General features: G+C 39.1%; 1 protein-coding gene across 2 annotated transcripts in view; it reads left to right on the top strand.

Annotated features, from left to right (window-relative positions):
- Nucleotides 1–20,203, top strand: part of GABRA3 (gamma-aminobutyric acid type A receptor subunit alpha3) — a 285,082-nt gene that overhangs the window by 243,900 nt on the left and 20,979 nt on the right. The window contains exons 8-9 of one of the 2 annotated variants that reach the window (NM_000808.4): nt 9,631–9,783; nt 17,475–17,686. In NM_000808.4, coding sequence (NP_000799.1) covers nt 9,631–9,783; nt 17,475–17,686 — 365 coding nt within the window. The remainder of the gene's footprint in view (nt 1–9,630; nt 9,784–17,474; nt 17,687–20,203) is intronic. The other variant, XM_006724811.4, reaches the window with a different exon arrangement.

The raw sequence follows: 20,203 nt of genomic DNA, 5'->3' as shown, positions 1-20,203 counted from the left end.
GTCTGTCCATTTGGAAATGGCCCCTGAGCAGTTCAAGGGGCCTGAGGGACGATATATTCTGGATCTCAACTAACCTTAGAATGTTCGTCAAAATGGAGTATATGCTGGGGCCCACATATCACATAATATTTTTTTTGCTATGAAATGATAGAAGCTTTCAACGTTAATTTTCAAGCAACACTTGTCTCTGTGAATCCACAATTATACATGTCCTTTTATCTCATTATCTAGACATACACTGTTCCCTCTTGTGATATCACAGTCTGTCATCTCCTCTGCCCCCTGTTTTCCCTCCACCTCAGAATCAGGGGAGGGTGCCTAAAAAAATCAACATTTGAAATGGAATTGAAGGACAAACAGGATTTAGAGATCTAGAATTAGTGTGGGGAAAGGCTATTCTTGACAAAGGCAATACTGAGATGTCGAAAGTCCAGAAGTATGAGAGAGCATGGCCTGTTAGGGAAGCTGAAAGCTGTTCAGAGTAAGATGCAGAAGAGATAAGGAGTGTAGGGCTGCAGGGGTGGGTGGGCTGTTCTGTGGGGTCCTGGCGTCATGTATGGCAGGCCTCCGGCTGGACCAGTCCAAGTGGCACAGGCAGGCAAGGTGTGGCTGGCCCTAATCTGAAGAATTCCCTCCTTCCAGTGGGTGAGCATTGCTGCTGGGGTCAAGTGCCTGGCTTTGGCAGAAGCAGTAGAGGTAGCCGGTGGTGGGAGTGTCTGGGCCACCTGGGCCCTGTCCCTGTGTCCCAGGAGCGCTCCTGGCCATCGTGCATTGGCTACCTGGGCCACTGCGTGGCCAGGGCTCAGAGCACTGGGAGTGTGGGCAGAGCCAGACAGGGACCCGTCCCTGGCTCACTGTGCTGAAGGTGAAGCAGGGGCATTGACATACTTTTCCTGCACTGGCTGCACAGGTACTGCCAGCCTCTTTAGAGCCCTGATCCCGGGACTATGCAAGCAAGGAGGGAGAGGAGCCATTTGCAGGTTTCACACACCCTCCTGTCCCCTCACGTCTCCACTGGACCCCTTACATGTGTGAGCAGAGAAGCCGGCCTCCTGCTTCAAGAGGTGCCACCACCAATGCCACTGCCTGGTTTCCCCTCCCTTCCCCACCCCAACTTAAGGGAAAAGAGGGGGCCCCAGGAGGAGGCTGAGGCTGCAGCATCACGTGGCCCAAAGTGGTGCACTGCACAGCTGGGCCCTAGAGGCTGAAGGCCCACCCTTGCTGCTGCAGGGATTTCCTCCTCAGAGTGAGCAAGCAAGAGAAGTCCCTGTATCTGTTCACTCCCCTCACCTCCCCGTCTGTCCTGGGCACTGCCCACCTGGCATCAACTCTTGAGACCAATCCTTGGCTGCCCAATCAGACCCCACTCCCACTTCATTTTGGTAAACCGCGGTTGGTGTCATCTTTAGCACACAGAAGATACACGTTCATAACAGGAAAATTAGAAATACATGGAGGAGCAAATGTTGGAAATTAAAATTCTTTTTGTTTCCACTTTCTAGAAATATCTTAGAAGATTTCGGTACATTAACTGATTGTTTTACATTCAGTATTTAAGACGGTTCCCTTTGCATTTTCTGTATAAATATGTTTTTATGTAAATGGGGCCATAGTATTGATACTTTTTTATAAGCTGATTTTTATTTAATTTTATATTATAAATGTGTTTTCATGTCACTAAATGCACATAATCCAGGTAAAATGTACACAAGATTTAGTAAAATATGTTAGCAATTAGAATGAACACACCACACATTTATTATTACTTGTTTTGGTTACTTAAAAAAAAGTGAAAAGCCTTCCTGTCAGGCCAGAGCATAGTTGACAATGATGATAATCCCTGTTGTCACTAGGAAGTGTAGCATTTCATTGTGAAACTCAGTAAAATAGTATCTCTTTTTTGGTAATGTCCTCATATAGATGGATCACAATCTATTTAAACAATCATCCACTATTATATTCTGTGTTTTAATGCTATAAACAACACTGTAAAGACCCTTCTTTTCCCTATAGCATTTTGCTCCTGTTTAAGTATCCGCCTAAGATACAGACAGGATATTGAGATTGCTATTTCAGAAAGTAGACACATTAAAAAAAATTGATACATATTGACAAACTGCTGTTCTGAAAGGTTAAACAATTCACACTCCTATTATCAGTGATGAGCAAGCCAATTTCCCCTCACTCTTGCCAACACAGGTATCATGGGTTGAATTGTGTCCCCTGAAAAGATATGTTTAAGTCCTAATCCCCAGTACTGCAAAATGTGACCTTATTTGGAAACAGGGTCACTGCAGATGTAATTAGTTAAGATAAGGTCATACTGCAGTGGAGTGGGCCCTAATCCAATTTGACTGGTGTCCTTATAAAAAGGGGAAATTTGAACATAGAGACACACACACACGCGTGCGTGCACATGGAGAACACCATGTGAATATGAAGGCAGAGATTGGGGCGATGCTTCTATAAGTTGAGAAACAGCAAAGATTGTGAGAAAACAATTTGAAACTAAGAAGAGGCAAGGAAGGATTTCCCTACAATTTTCAGAGGGAGTGTAGCTCTGCTGACACCTCAGTATCAGACTTCCAGCCTCCAGAACTGTGAAAGAATACATTTGTTTTGTTTTAACCCATCCAGGGTGTAGTACTTTGTTATGGCAGCCCTAGGAAAATAATGCAACAAGATATTGTCATTCTTGTTTTCTTACTGTTTATCAAAGTAATATATGGGTTTAGTGGTAGAATTACTAATGATCAATTTTTGAGCATGTAATATGTGCAAAGCATTTCCCTGAGGGCATGTATTAACTCACTTAACCCTTGAACAACAGTTTGAGGTGGGTGGTGGTATTATCTGAGGTTTATAGATAAGGAAATCGAGGCTCAGACAGATTAAATAATTTTCTCAGGGTCACACAGTTGGTAAGTGGTAGAGCAAGATTTGGAAACAAGGCAGCAAACTTGCTCCAGAGTCTATAAACATAATAACTACATGGATCACTCCCTTTCTACTTTGCATCTAGAAGGAAGGAGGATGTAAGGAAAGAAGGAAGGCAGGAAGAAAGGCAGGGAGGGAGGGAAGGAGGAAAGAAAAGAAAATTTAAAAATCAAATAACAGGTATATACTGAAAAGGAGCAGTTCCCATTTTAACCACTTATGTTTTACTTCTGATGGTTCCCTCCATAGTTCTAAATAATGTGCTTATACTGCCATTTTTCACCTTTAGAGATGAAATATTGATTCCCTACTCTAAGGTATTGAGTGCTTATCTCACTTCCATTGCCCCTACCTCTCCTTTCCTCCTAGTATTGATAGCTGGATCAAATAGTTAGCTATATTTATTGATCTATCAACCCTTCTGTCCTCATATCCTCACCTTCTTTCTTCCAACTTCTGCCAACTAAAAGTTTGCTTTCATTGTAAAAACGGATTAAAATATACACTCAGTTCTTGCGGTAGGGAGAATAGCGGCCCCCCAAAGATGTCCACATTCTATTCCGTAGAACCTGTGAACATGTTAGGTTACATGGAAAGGGGGGATTAAGGTGCCTAATCAGCTGATTTCAAAATAGATTATTCTGGATTATTCAAGTGGGCATAATGTAACCATGAGAGTCCTTATAAAGGAGAGGCAGGAAGACCAGAGTCAAAAAGAAAATGAGTAGAAGATATTTTACAGCTGGCTTGAAAGATGACAAATGGGGCCACAAGCCCAGAAATGTGGACTACCCAGAGAAGCCAAAAAGGCGAGAAAACCTATTCTTCCCTAGAGTCACCAGAAGTGAAGGCAGCCCCACCTACATCCTGATTTTAGCACAGTGAGACCCATTTTAGACTTCTGACCTTCGGAAGTATAAGAGTATAAATTCGTGCTGTTTGAAGCCAACAAGTGTGGGGTAATTTGATAAAGTACCAATAAATAGAAAACTAATACTGTTATATACCCCTAATTAAGCTTTCAATACTTTCTCTATAGATTGATTTAAAAAGCTCAAAACCAGCAAGGGACATTTGTATTACTATGACTGTATGAATACTATCTTTTGTTGGGATTGCATTTCTTGTTTAAGGGCCTACCACCCACTTAAATTTCCCTAGTTTTCTGTAGAAAGACCCTTCAGAGTATTTTAGATAAAGGCACTCAGATTATCTTTCTTTTGACTGGGAGAGTAAACACACTGATACAGTCATTGTGCCTATGGAAGTAGGGCTTGTAACTTTTCCAAGTTCAGATCTGCAGGAAATGTCCCTATTTTCCATTCCCATTCTTGAGACCCTCTCCCTTTGTCCCTGCAGCCTCCAGGTCTGTGTCCTCTCTGGGCATTGCCAGCAGGGACCTCCCTTGTAAGCTGAGCTCCCTCTGCTGCTTCTCATCTACACTGAGGCCTGCTTTCTCCATCAGCACTTTCTGAATTCCAAAATTCTCTTGAGCTCTTTCATTCATTCTTTCCTGTTGTTTTCTTTCTTATGGGTTTATTCTATTTTACTGTCTTCACTGGTACTTGATGAAGTCTTAAGAGAAAGAGGAGGTAAATGTTGCTGCTCAGTCTGCTATATGAATTGGACATCTTTCCAACTTTTTACCTACATTTTTTAGGAGCTGCATTATTTCCATTTTTAAAATTTACATCTCGAATATAATCTGGAGTTTTATTTTTGGTTTTGCTCTATGAGGTAACCAAATGTACCAGTATCCACGAGTGAATAATCGAGTGTTTCCTCATTGATATGAGATGCTTCTTTTATCATATAGTAAATTCACATGTGTGCACATACATACACATACAAACGCATAAATGTGTGTCTATATTTATTATTCTTTTTCATTGTTGTCTCTCTATTCTTTATATGTATCACATTATTTTAATTATCGAAGATACGTGTTTTCAAACTGTGTATATATACACACACACACATAATCTTTCTAGGAAGATACACAAGAGGCTGTTAATTGTAGTTACCTAAAGGAAGGAGATGTGAAATGGGTAATTTGGGGCAGATGTGGGAGGGAGACATTTTGCTGCACACACTTTTATACCTATTGATTTAGGAACCATATAAACATTATTACCTTACATATATATGTATTGTTTTTATTGTGACCATAAATTATGGGCATTCCTTTCTAAATTCTTCATACACTCTTCCATGTAGGGTCTAGAATATGAATGGAAATCTGGGCCAGAGAAAGGACCCACAATCCGTGGATGTTCTGATTGGTATGGCTGGCTTTCTCTCCAAATGCTGTCAGTCCTCAGTATGAACTAGCTTCATGCAGAGGCCGTCTGCTCTTTGCTCCAGATTCAAACATGTATTAAATAAATGAATGAAATTCCTCAAAGTCTGTGGCTAGTTGTTGACACCATCCCCTGTTTTCCCTAATTTGGCGAATTATTACATTAATTTTCTAAAAGGATAGTTTGGATGTATGATCCTTATATATCCATCTTTCCTAGAAATTTGATCATTTGTTAGAATGACAGTTTTATTATTATTGTCATTGTATATATTATTTCTTTAGATGTGTAGCATAGGTAAGTAAAGATAAGGCATAAAACAGGACATAAAGAAAAATCAGAGAGATGGAGATAAAAAGAAAACAGGAGGCAAGATAAAGAACAAGGAGTAGAGATAGAGAGAGGGAAAAATACCCAAGATAGATTTAAGAAAATATATCCACTTACTTTTTTATGATGACTTAATTTGCCAAGCTAAAAAATCCTCTGTGTGTTTCAAAACCTTAGAAACTAGCTAAGTTGTGAATGTGTTTTACATTCTATTATCAAATATTTCATATTTAACACAGATGGAGTTTAATAGGCTGAAGTGCAAAGGCAGGAGAAAATTCCCCCAAATCACTTAAAGGGCCATCCTTCATAATAAGAAAGACAGAGAGACACAGCAATAGGGGCAAGGAGGGAGAGAATCTAACAAATCCACTTCAGGAAAATATAGTCAGTTACGTAAAACATTATTTAGCTAAACTGTTCTGCGTTTCTGATACATAGATAATAACTAATTTATGAATACATATGCATTGTGTGTTTTATATTGTACCCTTGAATATTTCATATACAACACACACAACACAGGTGGTACATAATGAGCTTAATAAGCTGGGACAAAAGGGTGGAGGTGGGATGGAGGGAATTGTGAAAATCTTCCAATTTGATTAAAGTTTCAGTTCTCTCTTTGGCAGAGAAGAAGATATATAGAGATGGAAAATATCAGAGTTGTGTTTAAGAAAACTGATTAAGTTAATTGACATAATAAATTAATTTGCTAAGCTTTCTAAAAGTCCACTTGTAAGTTCCACCCATAGAAATGATCTAAGTTGTGAATACTCGTGAATATACAAAAGTGTCTTTCCATTGTCCCTTTGACAATTTCACACTGGACCCGGATAGCCTCCAATACAAGGACAGAAACCAGGGAAATCTTCGCAACCTAGGTGTCAGTTCTTACTAAAGAGAATTCCTTTCACCTCTTCAGAAGACAGACAACAAGACAGAATGAGAAAGAAAGAAGTATAGAAAAGGAGAGGATTGAGGAAAATCAATGTGTTCAACCATTTTGAGTCAGTTATTCAAAACAAATGGTTAATTTGGTACTCTTTTGAAAAGTCCATTTGCTTTGCCTTTTAGATCCACAGAATGTAATTAATTTATGAATATTTATTACATCTTTTATATATTAAATATTTCACATGATCAGAGATAGGATTAATAGGTAGCGTTTGGAAATGTGAGATGGTAAAGAGGGAGAATTGCATAAGCTCATCAAAGTCCAACTCTCATGAAAAACAAATCCCCAATGCCTTCTCAGTGGGGAGAGAGTGAAGGAAAGGGAAAGGACGGAAAGAAGTAGAGATGCACACAGACAGAAGATAAAACAAAGAAAGAAAAGAATTGAAAAAAAGAAGCAGAGAGAAAGAAAAGAGATGGGAACTCCAAAGTTGTAATTTTCAATTTGCTAAATTAAAAATAAGCCTACTTGTATTTTTTGTGTTCACATAAACAAGCTAAGATGTGAATACATATTCAATAAGGGTTGTATATTGAGCCTTGGATGACCAGATGGTGCTTCCTAGGTTTAGGTACAAGGGAGTGGGTAGAGTAGAAAAGTGGGAAATTGCCTCACTTGGGAATCCTGCCAAAACCAAATGTGGGTGGAGGAAGAGAGGTGAAAAATAAGAAGCTCTGATAAGAGTGCTATTAGAGCAGGCATATCGCAAGGGTCTTTGGGGACTATTTTGGGGAATCTGGCTTTTACTCTTTGAGAGATGGTAAACCATTGGATAGTTTTGAACAGAAGACAGACAAGATCTGACTTACGTTTTAATAAGATGATTTCTGGCAGCTGTACTATGAATGCATTGAAGAGGAGTCAAGGACAGAGCAAGGAGACCAGTTAGAAAGCTATTATAGTACTCTAGGTGAGACATGATGGTGGCTTAGACCAGGGTGGTAGCAGTAGAAGTGGTGAGAAGTGGTCAAATTATGGAAATATTTTGGAGAAAGAACTGGAAGAGTTGGCTGATTGATTGATTTTGTGTGTGTTATGTGTGTGTGTGTAAATGTGAGACAGAAAGGAGGGAGGGAAGGAGAGCAAGTGAGAGAGAGAGCAACAGAACACGGTGGGGTTGAGAAGTCAGTGGAAAGTCTCTTGGGGGAGCCATTTTGAATGGGTGTTGGGGATGGGGAGAGTGAAAACCAAAATCTTGATTTTTCATGTTAAGTCAAGATGCCTATTAGATCCCCAAGTAGTGATGTCTAATATATAAATCTTAGAGTTGAGTAGAGAATCTTAAGGCTCCTATAATAAAGTACCACAAACTGTGCAACTTAACAGAAATGTGTCTCACAGTTAAGGCTAGAAGTCTCAAATCAAAGCATCAAGAAGGTTAGTTCTTTCGAGATTCTGAGGGGAAAAATCTGTCCCTTGCCTCTCCCTAGTTTCTGGTGGTGGCTGTAATCTTTGGCATTCCTTGGCTTGCAGCTGCACCACTCCAACCTCTGCTTGTTTTTTGCTTTTTTTATTTTTTTTTTTTTGAGACAGAGTCTCGCCTGTTGCCCAGGCTGGAGTGCAGTGGCACGACCTTGGCTCACTGCCAGCTCCGCCTCCTGGGTTCACGCCATTCTCCTGCCTCAGCCTCCCTAGTATCTGGGACTACAGGTGCCCGCCACCACACCCGGCTAATATTTTGTATTTTTAGTAGAGATGGGGTTTCACCATGTTAGCCAGGATGGTCTCGATCTCCTGACCTCGTAATCTGCCCGCCTTGGCCTCCCAAAGTGCTGGGATTACAGGCAGGCTTGAGCCACCGCACCCAGCCCTCTGCCTGCTTTTTACGTATCCTTCTCCCTGTGTGTCTGTGTTTTCACATGGTGCTCTCTTCTAAGGACACTAGTCGTGTTGGATGAGGGGCCCACCCTACTCCAGTACGGCATGACCTCATCTTAACTAACTACATCTGCAATAACACTATTTCCAAACAAGGCCACAGTCTGTGGTAACAGGGGCTAAGGCTTCAGCATATCTTTTTGAGGGACACAATTCAACCCATAACAAGTAGGAAGCCCAGGTAGAAGTTATACATTGGGGAGTTATTAGAGTTTAAGGTATTAAAGACACAGGCTGGATGAGAATTGCCAGCGTCTGAGTGAGACAGAAAAAAGAAGTGCAAGTACAGAGCTTTGACATCCTCCAGTGTTTAGAAATTAAAAGGAACAGGAAAGGAGACTTAGGAGGAATGGTCTGTGAAGTAGGAGAGAAACCAGAAAAGCATCATGGCCTAGAGGGTCTGTGAAGAGAGTGATTACAAGAGGGAAGAAGGATCAACTGCATAAAATGCTGCTGACAAATCCAGTAAGAGGGAGAATTGACTAATACATTTAGCAATATGGGGTAATTATTAGTACCTATCTCACAGAACTGTTAGGAGGATATAAAGTTAACAATCCACAAACACTCAGAAAATATTTTGGCACACAGTAAAAGCGCAGTAAGTGCTCACTCTTATTTTAGGAGTGGGATAACGTAGGTCAGTCCACATTCTGCTATGTGAACTTTTGGGTCTAACCAAGTAAGTACATTAGAACAGCGGAGCATAATGGTTAAAAAGCATAAACTGTGGACAACCTACCTGGGCTTGACTTTGGGCTTTACTAATTACTAGCTGTGTAACCTTATGCAAGTTGCTCCATCTCTCCTTGCCTCAGTTTCTTGAGCTATAAAATGAGGATAACAATAGTACCTACCTCATAGGGCTCCTGTGAAGATTAAATATTTTATAATGTTAAAGTGCTAAATGAGTGCCTATCACATAGCAAGTGCTGTAGAAGAGATTTTTATTTTATTATTATTTAAATGAGAACATTAATTTACTTGAATGAATTGTGTCAAAATTGTTCCGAGCAAGCTGTATTGGTACACTGATAGCATTGTTTTTTCACACACACACAAAAAACACACTATTTTGTGATTATTAAAGGGCTCTAGTTATATGAACTTGGGAGATGCTGGAATATTGAATATAAGATTAAAGAGCTTTGTGAATTGAATTGGGGCCCAACTTGATTTAGCAATGTTTATGTAGCTACATACTGCCTAATTTTACTCTCTCTTTAGGAGAATATGTCGTCATGACAACCCACTTCCATCTCAAGCGAAAAATTGGCTACTTTGTGATCCAGACCTACTTGCCATGTATCATGACTGTCATTCTGTCACAAGTGTCGTTCTGGCTCAACAGAGAGTCTGTTCCTGCCCGTACAGTCTTTGGTGAGTGATAATTTATGGAGCGTAGGGGAAAGTCTTATCATGCAGAGTCACAGTGGAGGTGAGAAAGGTGGAAGAATGGCTCCTGGAGAGAATGGGAGAAATTCCTGTGCCTAGCAGGAGTAACTGAATCATCAGACCATGGGGTTTTAGACGACTGAATTCTCAAGGAGGAAGTTAGAATAAGAAGACTGTTGGACCAGTAAGATACTGAAATGCTTCCCATTTCAGTCCTGCTTGCCCCAAAAGCTGGAGAGGGAATTATCCTTTAGTAAAAAAGAGAGGAATTTAGTGCATAGAGTGGAGAAGTTAAAGGGTTAGAAACCAAGCTGTCTGAACAGAGTATTGGATTGGGGGCTTTGTTAAGATCTGCTTTTTTTGTATGAGCGTTTGACTTTGTGGCTTCTTCTCTAGCCTTTTTGAAAGTATGAGTTATCTGATATTGTGTAAAGGCCACACACAGTTTAAAGGATTTCTTAATAGTACCCACGATCAAAGCCATTTTCTTCATCATGAGTATACTGATGTCTAGGAAGACATTTGCATATCATTAGCACTTTTTCCTCACAGACTTAAAACATACAAAACATTTCCTGCCTATTTTTCCCACTGTCGGAGATAAATATTAATTTTTTCAGCTACTAAACTGGCCTCCATGGCAATGATACCTTTGAGGCATATACTTGAGTGTACTTGGTATCCACACAGAAGGTGTTTCTACCAATATCCTGAAGTTTTACTGGGAAGTGAAATAAAAAGTAAATTATGTTTTGGAAGAAGTAGCATTGTAGGTCAGGTATTGTAGGAGATAGCAGTGGAGAAAGAGAAATAGTGACCTGTAAAGTAGGAAAAAGAAAGAATAATCAAAAGGATGTGATATCATGGAAGTCATGTGAGGAGAGTATTTCAAGAAGCAGAGAATACTCATGTGGGTTGAACTGTACTGAGTTTACATGAGATGCAGACAGAAACTGTCTGTTGGGTATTGTGATATACTTGGCTGTTAGGGATCTTGAGAAGAACAGTTCTAGTGAAGTGGAGGGAGCAGAAGCTGTATGAGAGTGGGTTAAATATGCTCACTTTGGGAAATGTAACAAACTAGATACCCTGAAAAAGCTTCCTTTATAAAATCCTAGAAAAGCTAGATAAAACATAGAAACCATTCTTTTTCATTTTTCCTTCCTTCTTCCTTCCTTCCTTCCTTTCTTTCTTTCTTTTTTTTTTTTTCTTTTTTTTTGAGACGGAGTTTCACTCTTGTTGCCCAGGCTGGAGTTCAATAGAGCGTTCTCGGCTCACTGCAACCCCCCGCCTCTCAGGTTCAAGCGATTCTCCTGCCTCAGCCTCCCGAGTAGCTGGGATTACAGGCACCCACCACCACGCCTGGCTATTTTTTTTTTTTTTTTGTATTTTTAGTAGAGACAGGGTTTCAACATGTTGGCCAGGCTGGTCTCCAACTCCTGACTTTTTAGATGATCCGCCCATCTCAGCCTCCCAAAGTGCTGGGATTACAGGTGTGAGCCACAGCACCCGGCCGAAACCATTCTTTTAAGCTAATGTCTTAACGTGAGCTTAAAAGAAATTAAAGGAAATACACAGGGGCCCAAATGAAAGAAGAAACTGAAAATTGAGTGTCAATCCCATTAACTGTACTGTTATGGCAGGAAGATAAGCAGATGGACTCCTGGTCTTGGTAAACAAGAGTTTGACTTTTTAAAGAAAGGCATTTACAACTAAGATTGTGGTAGGCAGAATAACGGTCCCCAAAGATACCCATATTCTAGTCCCTGGAACTTGGGAGTGTGACCTATACAGCAAAAATAACTTTGTAGTTGTGATTAAATAAAAGATCTTGAGATGGAGAGATTATTCTGAATTATCTGGAATGGGGCCTAAATGCAATCACAGTATCCTTATAAGAATCAGGCAGAAGGAGATTTGACTATGGAGGAGAAAGCAATGTGATGACAGAAGGAGGAAAGATTTGAACATGCTCTGCTGTCGGATTTGAAGAAAGAGGAAGGGGATCATGAGTGAAGGAATCCGTCATACAGCTCTAGAAGCTGAAAAAGGTAATAGATTATTCCTTTAGAGCCTCCAGAGGGAGTGCAACCCTGCTGACACCTTGACACTGGACCAGTGAAACTAATTTCAGCCTTCTAGCATCAAGAATTGTAAGAAGGCATTTAATTGTTTTAGGCAACTAAATTTTTGATAATTTGTTACATAAACCAAAGGAAATTAATACAAGGACACTTCCCATGAATTCAATATCATTGAACAGTTACGCTTTCAATGCAAGGGAGTACTAGAAAAATACACTTACTAGTGCAGAGAGACAATAAAGAAGCATGTTTTTTTTGGCCTGGGCTTTGTGTGAAATATGAGATTCCTTGATAATTCATTTGCTAATTCAAACTTGGCCTCACATTAATTTAGAATTTATATTTACATTAATTGCATTGATGTGAGAACCTGCATGTTAAAATGTTTATATAAAAAATGATTGCAGAATTGTTTATGTAAGAAAAAAAGCAAGAATAGCCAATATATCCTTCTAAAAAAGAACAAAGTAGACAGACCGGGAGTGGCAGCTCATGCCTGTAATCCCAGCACTTTAAGAGGCTGAAATGGGAGTACTGCTTGAGCCTAGGAGTTCAAGACCAGCCTGGGAAACATAGGGAGACCTCTTCTTAAATTTTTTCTTTTTAATTAGCCAGACGTGGTGGCACATCCCTGTGGTCCCAGATACTTGGGAGGCTGAGGTGAGAGGATTGCTTGGGCCTGGGAGGTTGAGGCTGCCATGAGCCATGATCATGCCACTGCACTCCAGCCTGGGTGACAGAGTGAGACCCTGTCTCAAAAGATTTTTAAAGAAAATAAGAAAGCCTAAAATACAGCCATATATATGGAAACTTGATTTATGATAAAGATGGCACTGCAGAGAATTAATTTGAGATTGATCATGGATTTAAGTATAAAAGTTAAAAATATGATTATCTTAGAAGAAAATATAAGGCAATATCTGTGCACCCTTTGGTAGACAGAAATTCCTTAGTTCACAAAAACATAATAACAATAAGGAAAAGAACTAATAAATTGGACTTCATCAAAATTAAAAATTTCTGCTCATCAAAGGATAACATTAAGATAATGAAATGGCAAACCATATCCTGAGATAAAGCACACTATATCTGTGCAGACCTAAAAAAATATTTTGAAATATTTATATATTCTGAAAATATAAAAAGCTCCTAAAATTCAATAATAAAAGGACAAAGAATCCAATTTTTAAAATGGGCAAAAGATGTAAACAGATATTTCACCGAAGAATATATACAAATGCCCATAATCATGTAAAAGGATCCTTAACATCATCTTTTTTTAAATTAGGGAAATGTAAACTAAAACCTCATGGAGACATCACTTTAAATACTAGAATGGCTAAAATAAGCACTGAATGTATGAAATGGTAACAGTGGCTTATTGGTTAAACAATACATTTAGAATAAAATACTAGAACATAATGTAATATATATCTGTTGAGATGGGGGTATATGGAGATAAAATGTTCCAAGGACTTTCACTGTCAGAGAAAAGTGTTAAAGTATCAATTAACGTTATTTATTTTATTTTATTTTTTGAGGCGGGTCTCACCCTGTTGCCCAGGCTGGAGTGCAGTGGTGCTATCTCGGCTCATTGCAACCTCTGCCTCCTGGATTCAAGCAATTCTCCTGCCTCAGCCTCCCGAGTAGCTGGGACTACAGGCGTGTGCCACCATGCCTAGTTAATTTTTGTATTTTTAGTTGAGATGGGGTTTCACCATGTTGGCCAGGCTGGTCTCAAACTCCTGACCTTGTGATCCACCCGCCTCAGCCTCCCAAAGGGCTGGGATTCCAGGCGGGAGCCACCACGCCCGGCCTAAAGTTATTATATTATATTTTATTTCTTAAGTCAAGGATGCATGCTGACTGAAACTCTCATAAATCTACTGGGAATGTTAAATGGTAAAATTACTTTAGAAAACAGTTTGGCAATGCCATATAAAGTTAAATATATGCTTACTATATAATCTTGTAGTTCCATTCTTTAGGTATTAACCAAGAGAAATGAAAGCATATACTCACCCAGACTTATATGTAAATCATCCCAGTATCTTTATTCACAATAGTTGAACACTGGAAACAATCCAGATACCCATTACTGGGTGAATGAATAAACAAATTAGGTAATATCAATACAATGGAATGCTGCTGTGAAATTAACAGGAACGAGCCATAGATAGATGCAACAACATGAATGAACCTAAAAATATGCTGAGTGGAGGAAGCCAGACACAAGTGAGTACATACTGTAAAATATTTATACGAAACTCTAAGAGAAAAATCTAATCCATAGAAAATGAAAGCACATCAGTGGTTACCTAAGACCAAGGAGGGGATGGCATGGGCACAAAGGAATCTTTGGGGAGATGGGAATATTCTATAGATGATACTTATGAGAAAGGGCAGAAAGGGGTATCACCAGATGGTAGATGTCTCAAAAGAGCTCAGGTTACAACAACACTGTGATCCGGTAATGGTCTAAGAAGCGCTAGACATCAAAGAAAATATGGATTGCACTTCTTGAGCTCTTGATTCTGAATTATCAACCACATTTTGAGAACCAAAACAGTGTATTCAAGAGGAGAGTCAGGTTTCAGTTAAGACCAAAAGGGGGTTATGCATTCAGAGAAGAGGTTGAGAAAATAGGTGGACTCACCAGTTATACAGTAGCAGAGTTGGGCAGTAAGAAGAGTTTGCGATAAAGGGTTCATAAGTATATGGGTGATAAGGTCAGATAGGACTTTGTAAAACAGAATTAAGCCTGACTGAAAGTGAATTAACAAATATCCTTGCCCTTGTGGTAGTGTCTGAGGTAAACAGATATATGAAATGTGATTAATTCTGATTATCTCCTAAGGGGAGGGAGAATGGGTGCTCATTTTGAATGCTGTGGTCTGAAATATCTAAATTTTTTATCTTTAGGGCTTAACTCTGTATAAGGCACAAAACAGTTAGCAGTGTTGGAGAAAAGAAGACAATAAGAGCTACATTAATAATAATAATAATATATTTAATAATTACCGTAAGAAAAGAACATTATTAACTCTGATAGGAACAAATGTGGTACAGTGGGCTACTTGGCTGTGCCTGAGAATTAAAGTCCTTTCCACTCATCACAGATGTGGTTTGGTATAAGAGACACATGTCATCACGTAAGTGCACTAGAAGTGCTCAAAGGAGACGAGGGAGGACAGTCAGTTCTACCTAAGCCTTTTCAGAAATGTTTTCTAGTCTTGAAAGAGAAGCACTGGTGACAGGCTGAATATCTTTTAAAATGCCAAGAATCTCTTTGTCCATCCATGAAGCGTACCAAAGGCTTGATTGAGGGCCCTACCAGCTCTGACTAGCTAAGAGCTTTCAAAAAGTTGACAGTTTTAATTAAGCCCTAGAGACTAGAGCTCCAAAAATCTCTACTGAGATATGGCACAGAAACACTTATGTTGCAATACAGTTCTCTCCATCTAAGCACTAGCAGCACACTGCTATGAATGTGTCAGAGTGGACAACTGCATTTGCTAATAACCATTAATAAAGTAGCTTGTTTCTCCCATTAAGTAACTACTTGGTTGGTATGATCTGAAGGTTTTCAAGGCCTGGATCCATTGTCAGAGATTACCAGGTTACAGATTCAGAGAGTTTGTTAATAAGTATTAGCTATGTGGCAGATTCCTCACATGGCGTAAAATGTGTTTCGGCTAATCAGCCTTGATGACTCCCTGCCTAGTTGGTGCAAAGGTACTCCTTTAGGGTATTTCTGTTGAAATTGTACGGAGTCTTTTGCAGTCTGGATTTTCATTTATATAGCAAATATATAAGTAAGGTACTACGGCAGACCAAGATAGAAAAGGAAGCCCCAGAGGCTTCAGCACACATGGCTGACCCTCTGGGTAAAGTTAATGGACACAGTGCCTTCTCTGCTTGATTTCGCATATAGCCTCTTTCACCTCATTAGAAATTCATTCCATGCCCCACTTGACCCAGGCTAAGGAGGCTCACTTTCTCCATCCTCTTCAGCATGCCAACGCTAAGAAAGACATTCTGACCATTTCCCCTTCCTCAAGTTTGAATGACTTTGTACATCTACTGCTTTATCAAAATCCTGGGGGACAGAGACAGTAGGGAATATTCATAGATGGGCAAAATGGAGGCACAGAGAGAATAAAGAAATTGCCTAAGATATAAATCAAGTAAGTGGGAGCACTCAGAACATCTAACTTCTAGTGTAGTACTCATTGAGACTAGAAAAACATCACTAGCAATTGTAAAATTATTATGATAATATTGTTGTTAACATTGATTATACTTATACTATTATAATTATATAGTATGACAACACTATTGTTCTAACAACAGTAAAGACAATAGTCATGTTAATTATAGAAGCTACTATTTATGGAATGATTACTCTGTGTCAGGTATTATACTATAGACTTTATGTATATGTGTATATATATACATAATCTTCAATCCCTAACAAATCTCTGTATTATCTGGTGTTATTACCCCCCTTTTACACATGATAAACTGAGGCTCTCTGGGGTAAAACACCTTATTCAAGGTCATATTACTAGTAGGTGAGGTTGCTCAGTTTTCAGCCTAGTTCATTCTGACTCTAAAGCTTATACCGTTAATCACAATTTTATATTATATATATATATATATTCACATGCATATCTAAAATATGAAAAGATTAGAAAAAATGTAAAATATAATTTAAATGTAAATAAAGCCTTGAATTTAGAATAACACTCCCCCCAAAAAAGAATCAATTGGTCTAAAGACAAGCTTGGATTTGGCAAAAACTCACAAGAAACAGATTTCGGAATAGTTTTCATCGTTCACAAAGCCCAATAGGGACCTAGTGTGTGACGCAGCTACAGAACCACTTTCCACGATAGTTTGCTGCATTATCAGAAGACTGTCCAAAATTAAGGAAGTAAGCATCTTACTGAATTCCGACCATGTCCTGAGTCTTGGGCTCAGTTCTGGGCTATTCAGAAAAGAAAAAAAAAGAAAAAAGAAAAAAAAATAGGTTAGGGAAGGAAGTAAACAAGAAAAGGAGTTCATGAGGTGAACTTGAATCTCCATGTTCATTCTGAAGATGAGCAGTTTCGCAAGGAGCCATCACCCTTTTTAGGTCTCTGAAGGTCTGTTCTGGAGAGTAAGGAGCAGATTTTTTTTCCCTTGCATGGCTACAGAAGACACTCCAAGATCGGTCTGTGGACCAGTAGCTAGAAGAAGCCAGATTTCAGTTCGTGAGCTAGTTTTTTTTTTTCTAATTAAAATGCTCTCTTACAATGAAATGGACTACCTGCTCTTTAATGGAAATGTTTAAGCAGAAGCTAGAGGACAACAATTAAATGTAATCCATTGCAGATGCCTATATAGTCTTCTGCCAATTGGGATGGGCTGGTTACTAGGTGGACCCATCAGATTTGATAGTCCAGTGTTTTTTTAAAATTTTATTTTATTTTAAAAGGGCCATTTTGAGTGGGGTAAAGCTTCTCCTTTCAAATAGGAAATTAGTGATTTCATCGAATAAGCTCTCAATGTCTTCCAGTTGCAACTGGTTCTCATCTTTCCTCTCCTCAGGTGTCACCACTGTGCTTACCATGACCACCTTGAGTATCAGTGCCAGAAATTCCTTACCTAAAGTGGCATATGCGACGGCCATGGACTGGTTCATAGCCGTCTGTTATGCCTTTGTATTTTCTGCACTGATTGAATTTGCCACTGTCAACTATTTCACCAAGCGGAGTTGGGCTTGGGAAGGCAAGAAGGTGCCAGAGGCCCTGGAGATGAAGGTGAGATATAGCAAAAGAGAAACTGAGAAGCACCCCCGAGAGACCTGTATTGGGACCAGGAGTGGGCAGCCTATAGCCTGCAAGAACTGGGCAGGGCTATGTGCTATGCACTGGGGTCATCAATCCAGTTCTCAACTGGAGTGCTTCTTGGCAACCTGGCATGTTGTCTGAGGGCAAAGAAAAGAGGGCAGGTATCATGGAGGGTTGATGTCTTGTGGTGAAGGATCAAACCTAAATGTGATGCTGCTAGACTCAAGGGGCACCCATTGGTACTTACAAAGTCACTCAAAGGCTTGGACTCTATCTTCAACCCAGAGTACAATCTCTAAGGCCATCTCTGCCCCTCTTCCCAGTATATTCAAATTACAGTCAAAACAAAATGATCATCTTTCTTTCTGTGTCTGCTTATTTTGCTTTCTGTACCTGGAATGCTCTTTGTTTTTTCCCATGCCTGTTAAAGACCTACTCATTCTTCAAGTCCCAACTGAAATGCTACTTTCTCCATAGAGCCTTTCTGGAATCATTCACAGATTTATCTTTGATTGAGGCATGGGTGCTCCTGATATTAAAATAATTTATTCATATTAGTTTTTGTCTTCCTCTCACTAGACTGTGAACATTTTGAGGGCAAGAGCTTGTCTGCCTCTTATTTCTAGCTAGCCAACATCCTTGCCTAGCATCTGACTCACAGTAAAAGCTGAATAAATGTTGATTGGATTGGTGCATTGATGGGAAGGAAGAAGAGAGATTAAAATCATTAAACCAACTAAATTGATAGGAATAAAACATGAATACAGTGAAATTAAGATTGTTGTCCCTGGCTGCTTTAAATAAGTTCAGGTCGCTAGAACTAGATGAAGATTATCAAAATATGCTAAGAGGAACTGGCAAATGTGATCTCAGGACCATCCTGGTACTCCTCAAATAATCATGGAGAAGAGAAACGATAATGATTTTTCAAATTAGGAGAAAATATGTATTGCATAGAGTATAGATTGGTGAGTTGGCAAAATTTTTGAACAATTTTTAACTATTTAGATAAAATTTATTAACTCCTTGCTATAAATTATGAAGAGATAAGTGTAGTTCTACTTCCTTAATCTACTCTACCATAGGATTTTTTGCTTGGTTTTATTGTGCTTAATCTAGTTGTTACTTTTGTACCCTTAAAATATATTTATTCCTCTATAACTTGGTTTATCAGCTAGGAACAGGGTCTGTTAGCCCCCCACCCAGGAAGAATATAAGGAAATCAGTACATGCCCACTCCTACCTCTCCTTCTCTCTACCAGTTCCTATCATCTCCTAATTTCTGTTTGCTATACTACTATTGCTCCCTTATTACATTTTATAACACTTACATCCTCCCATGCAACTGTAAATCCTATAATTGTTTAGTCATAGTTCTACATTTAAATGGGTTCTTTTCTTAAAATCGTCCTTTTATCTATCATTTCTATTCATTGTATATTTACATCAATTCCTTTTTTTAAGTTCAGGGGTACAAGTGCAGGTTTGTTATATAGGTAAACTTGTGTCATGGGGGTTGGCTGTATGCTGTACAGATTATTTTATCACCCAGATATTAAACCTAGTATTCATGAGTTATTTTTAATGATCCTCTCCCTCCTTCTTCCCCCCACCTTCCCAAAGGCCCCAGTGTGTGTAGCTATCTTCTATAAGTTTCTTTAAGATGGTCTCATGGGAACCATATTTCCTTCTGTTTTGAATGTATAAAATCATTGTCTATTGTGTTTATACTTAAATAATAGTTGAGCTATTGTACAATCCATGGGTCACATTCTCTTTTTCTGATGACTCCATTAAGACATTTATTACAATACTCAATAGGTCATTTTCTTCCTTTTGTAACAAAGTTTGTGTTAATCGCATGATAGTTTGTCTTCAATTCTTACTTGAAGTTGCATTAGAGAAATTTTTACTACTCTTGTTATGTATGGAAATATCATTGGGGGAGTAACTGAGAGAGTTAGCAGGATAGTAATGAGTAGCTGAGAATGAGTAGTAGAGTAGTTTGAGCATCACTTGTTGTCTATATAATCTCTTATGAGTAGTCTTCCTTGTAGTTGTGATTCTACTTCTGACTAGTAAGAACTTTCCCTTGTTCACAGGAAATCCCTCTATGTTGATACAGGTGTCTGTGTGCATGTCTCTGTGTGTGTTTGTGTATGTGCTTGTGCATGTGTATGCGTGTATAGTATTATATTCTTTAATTTTGCAGTCTCTGTCTCCTCTGCCACTATGTGGTAGTCAGAGTTCCAGGATGTTCTCATTACCAGTTTGAAAACTGATTTTATTTCAAAACAGGGATTGTTTCTTTCCTTTGTCAGGTCATGCCACACACTTTTGGGACACTATCCTTGACCTGAAATCTAGAGCAGCAGGTATCCTCAGTGTCATCTTCACCCTGATCTGATTTTCACTGCGCTTCACTTTCACTTCACTTCCGAGCCCTTACTTCTTGGGATTAAGGTTATAAAAGCTGTTAAGTTTCAC

This window comes from Homo sapiens, chromosome X, assembly GCF_000001405.40.
Source record: "Homo sapiens chromosome X, GRCh38.p14 Primary Assembly".
In the NCBI taxonomy this organism is placed as follows: domain Eukaryota; kingdom Metazoa; phylum Chordata; class Mammalia; order Primates; family Hominidae; genus Homo; species Homo sapiens.
The sequence above is the reverse complement of the archived record's forward strand: the minus strand, read 5'-3'. Positions and strand labels throughout refer to the sequence as shown.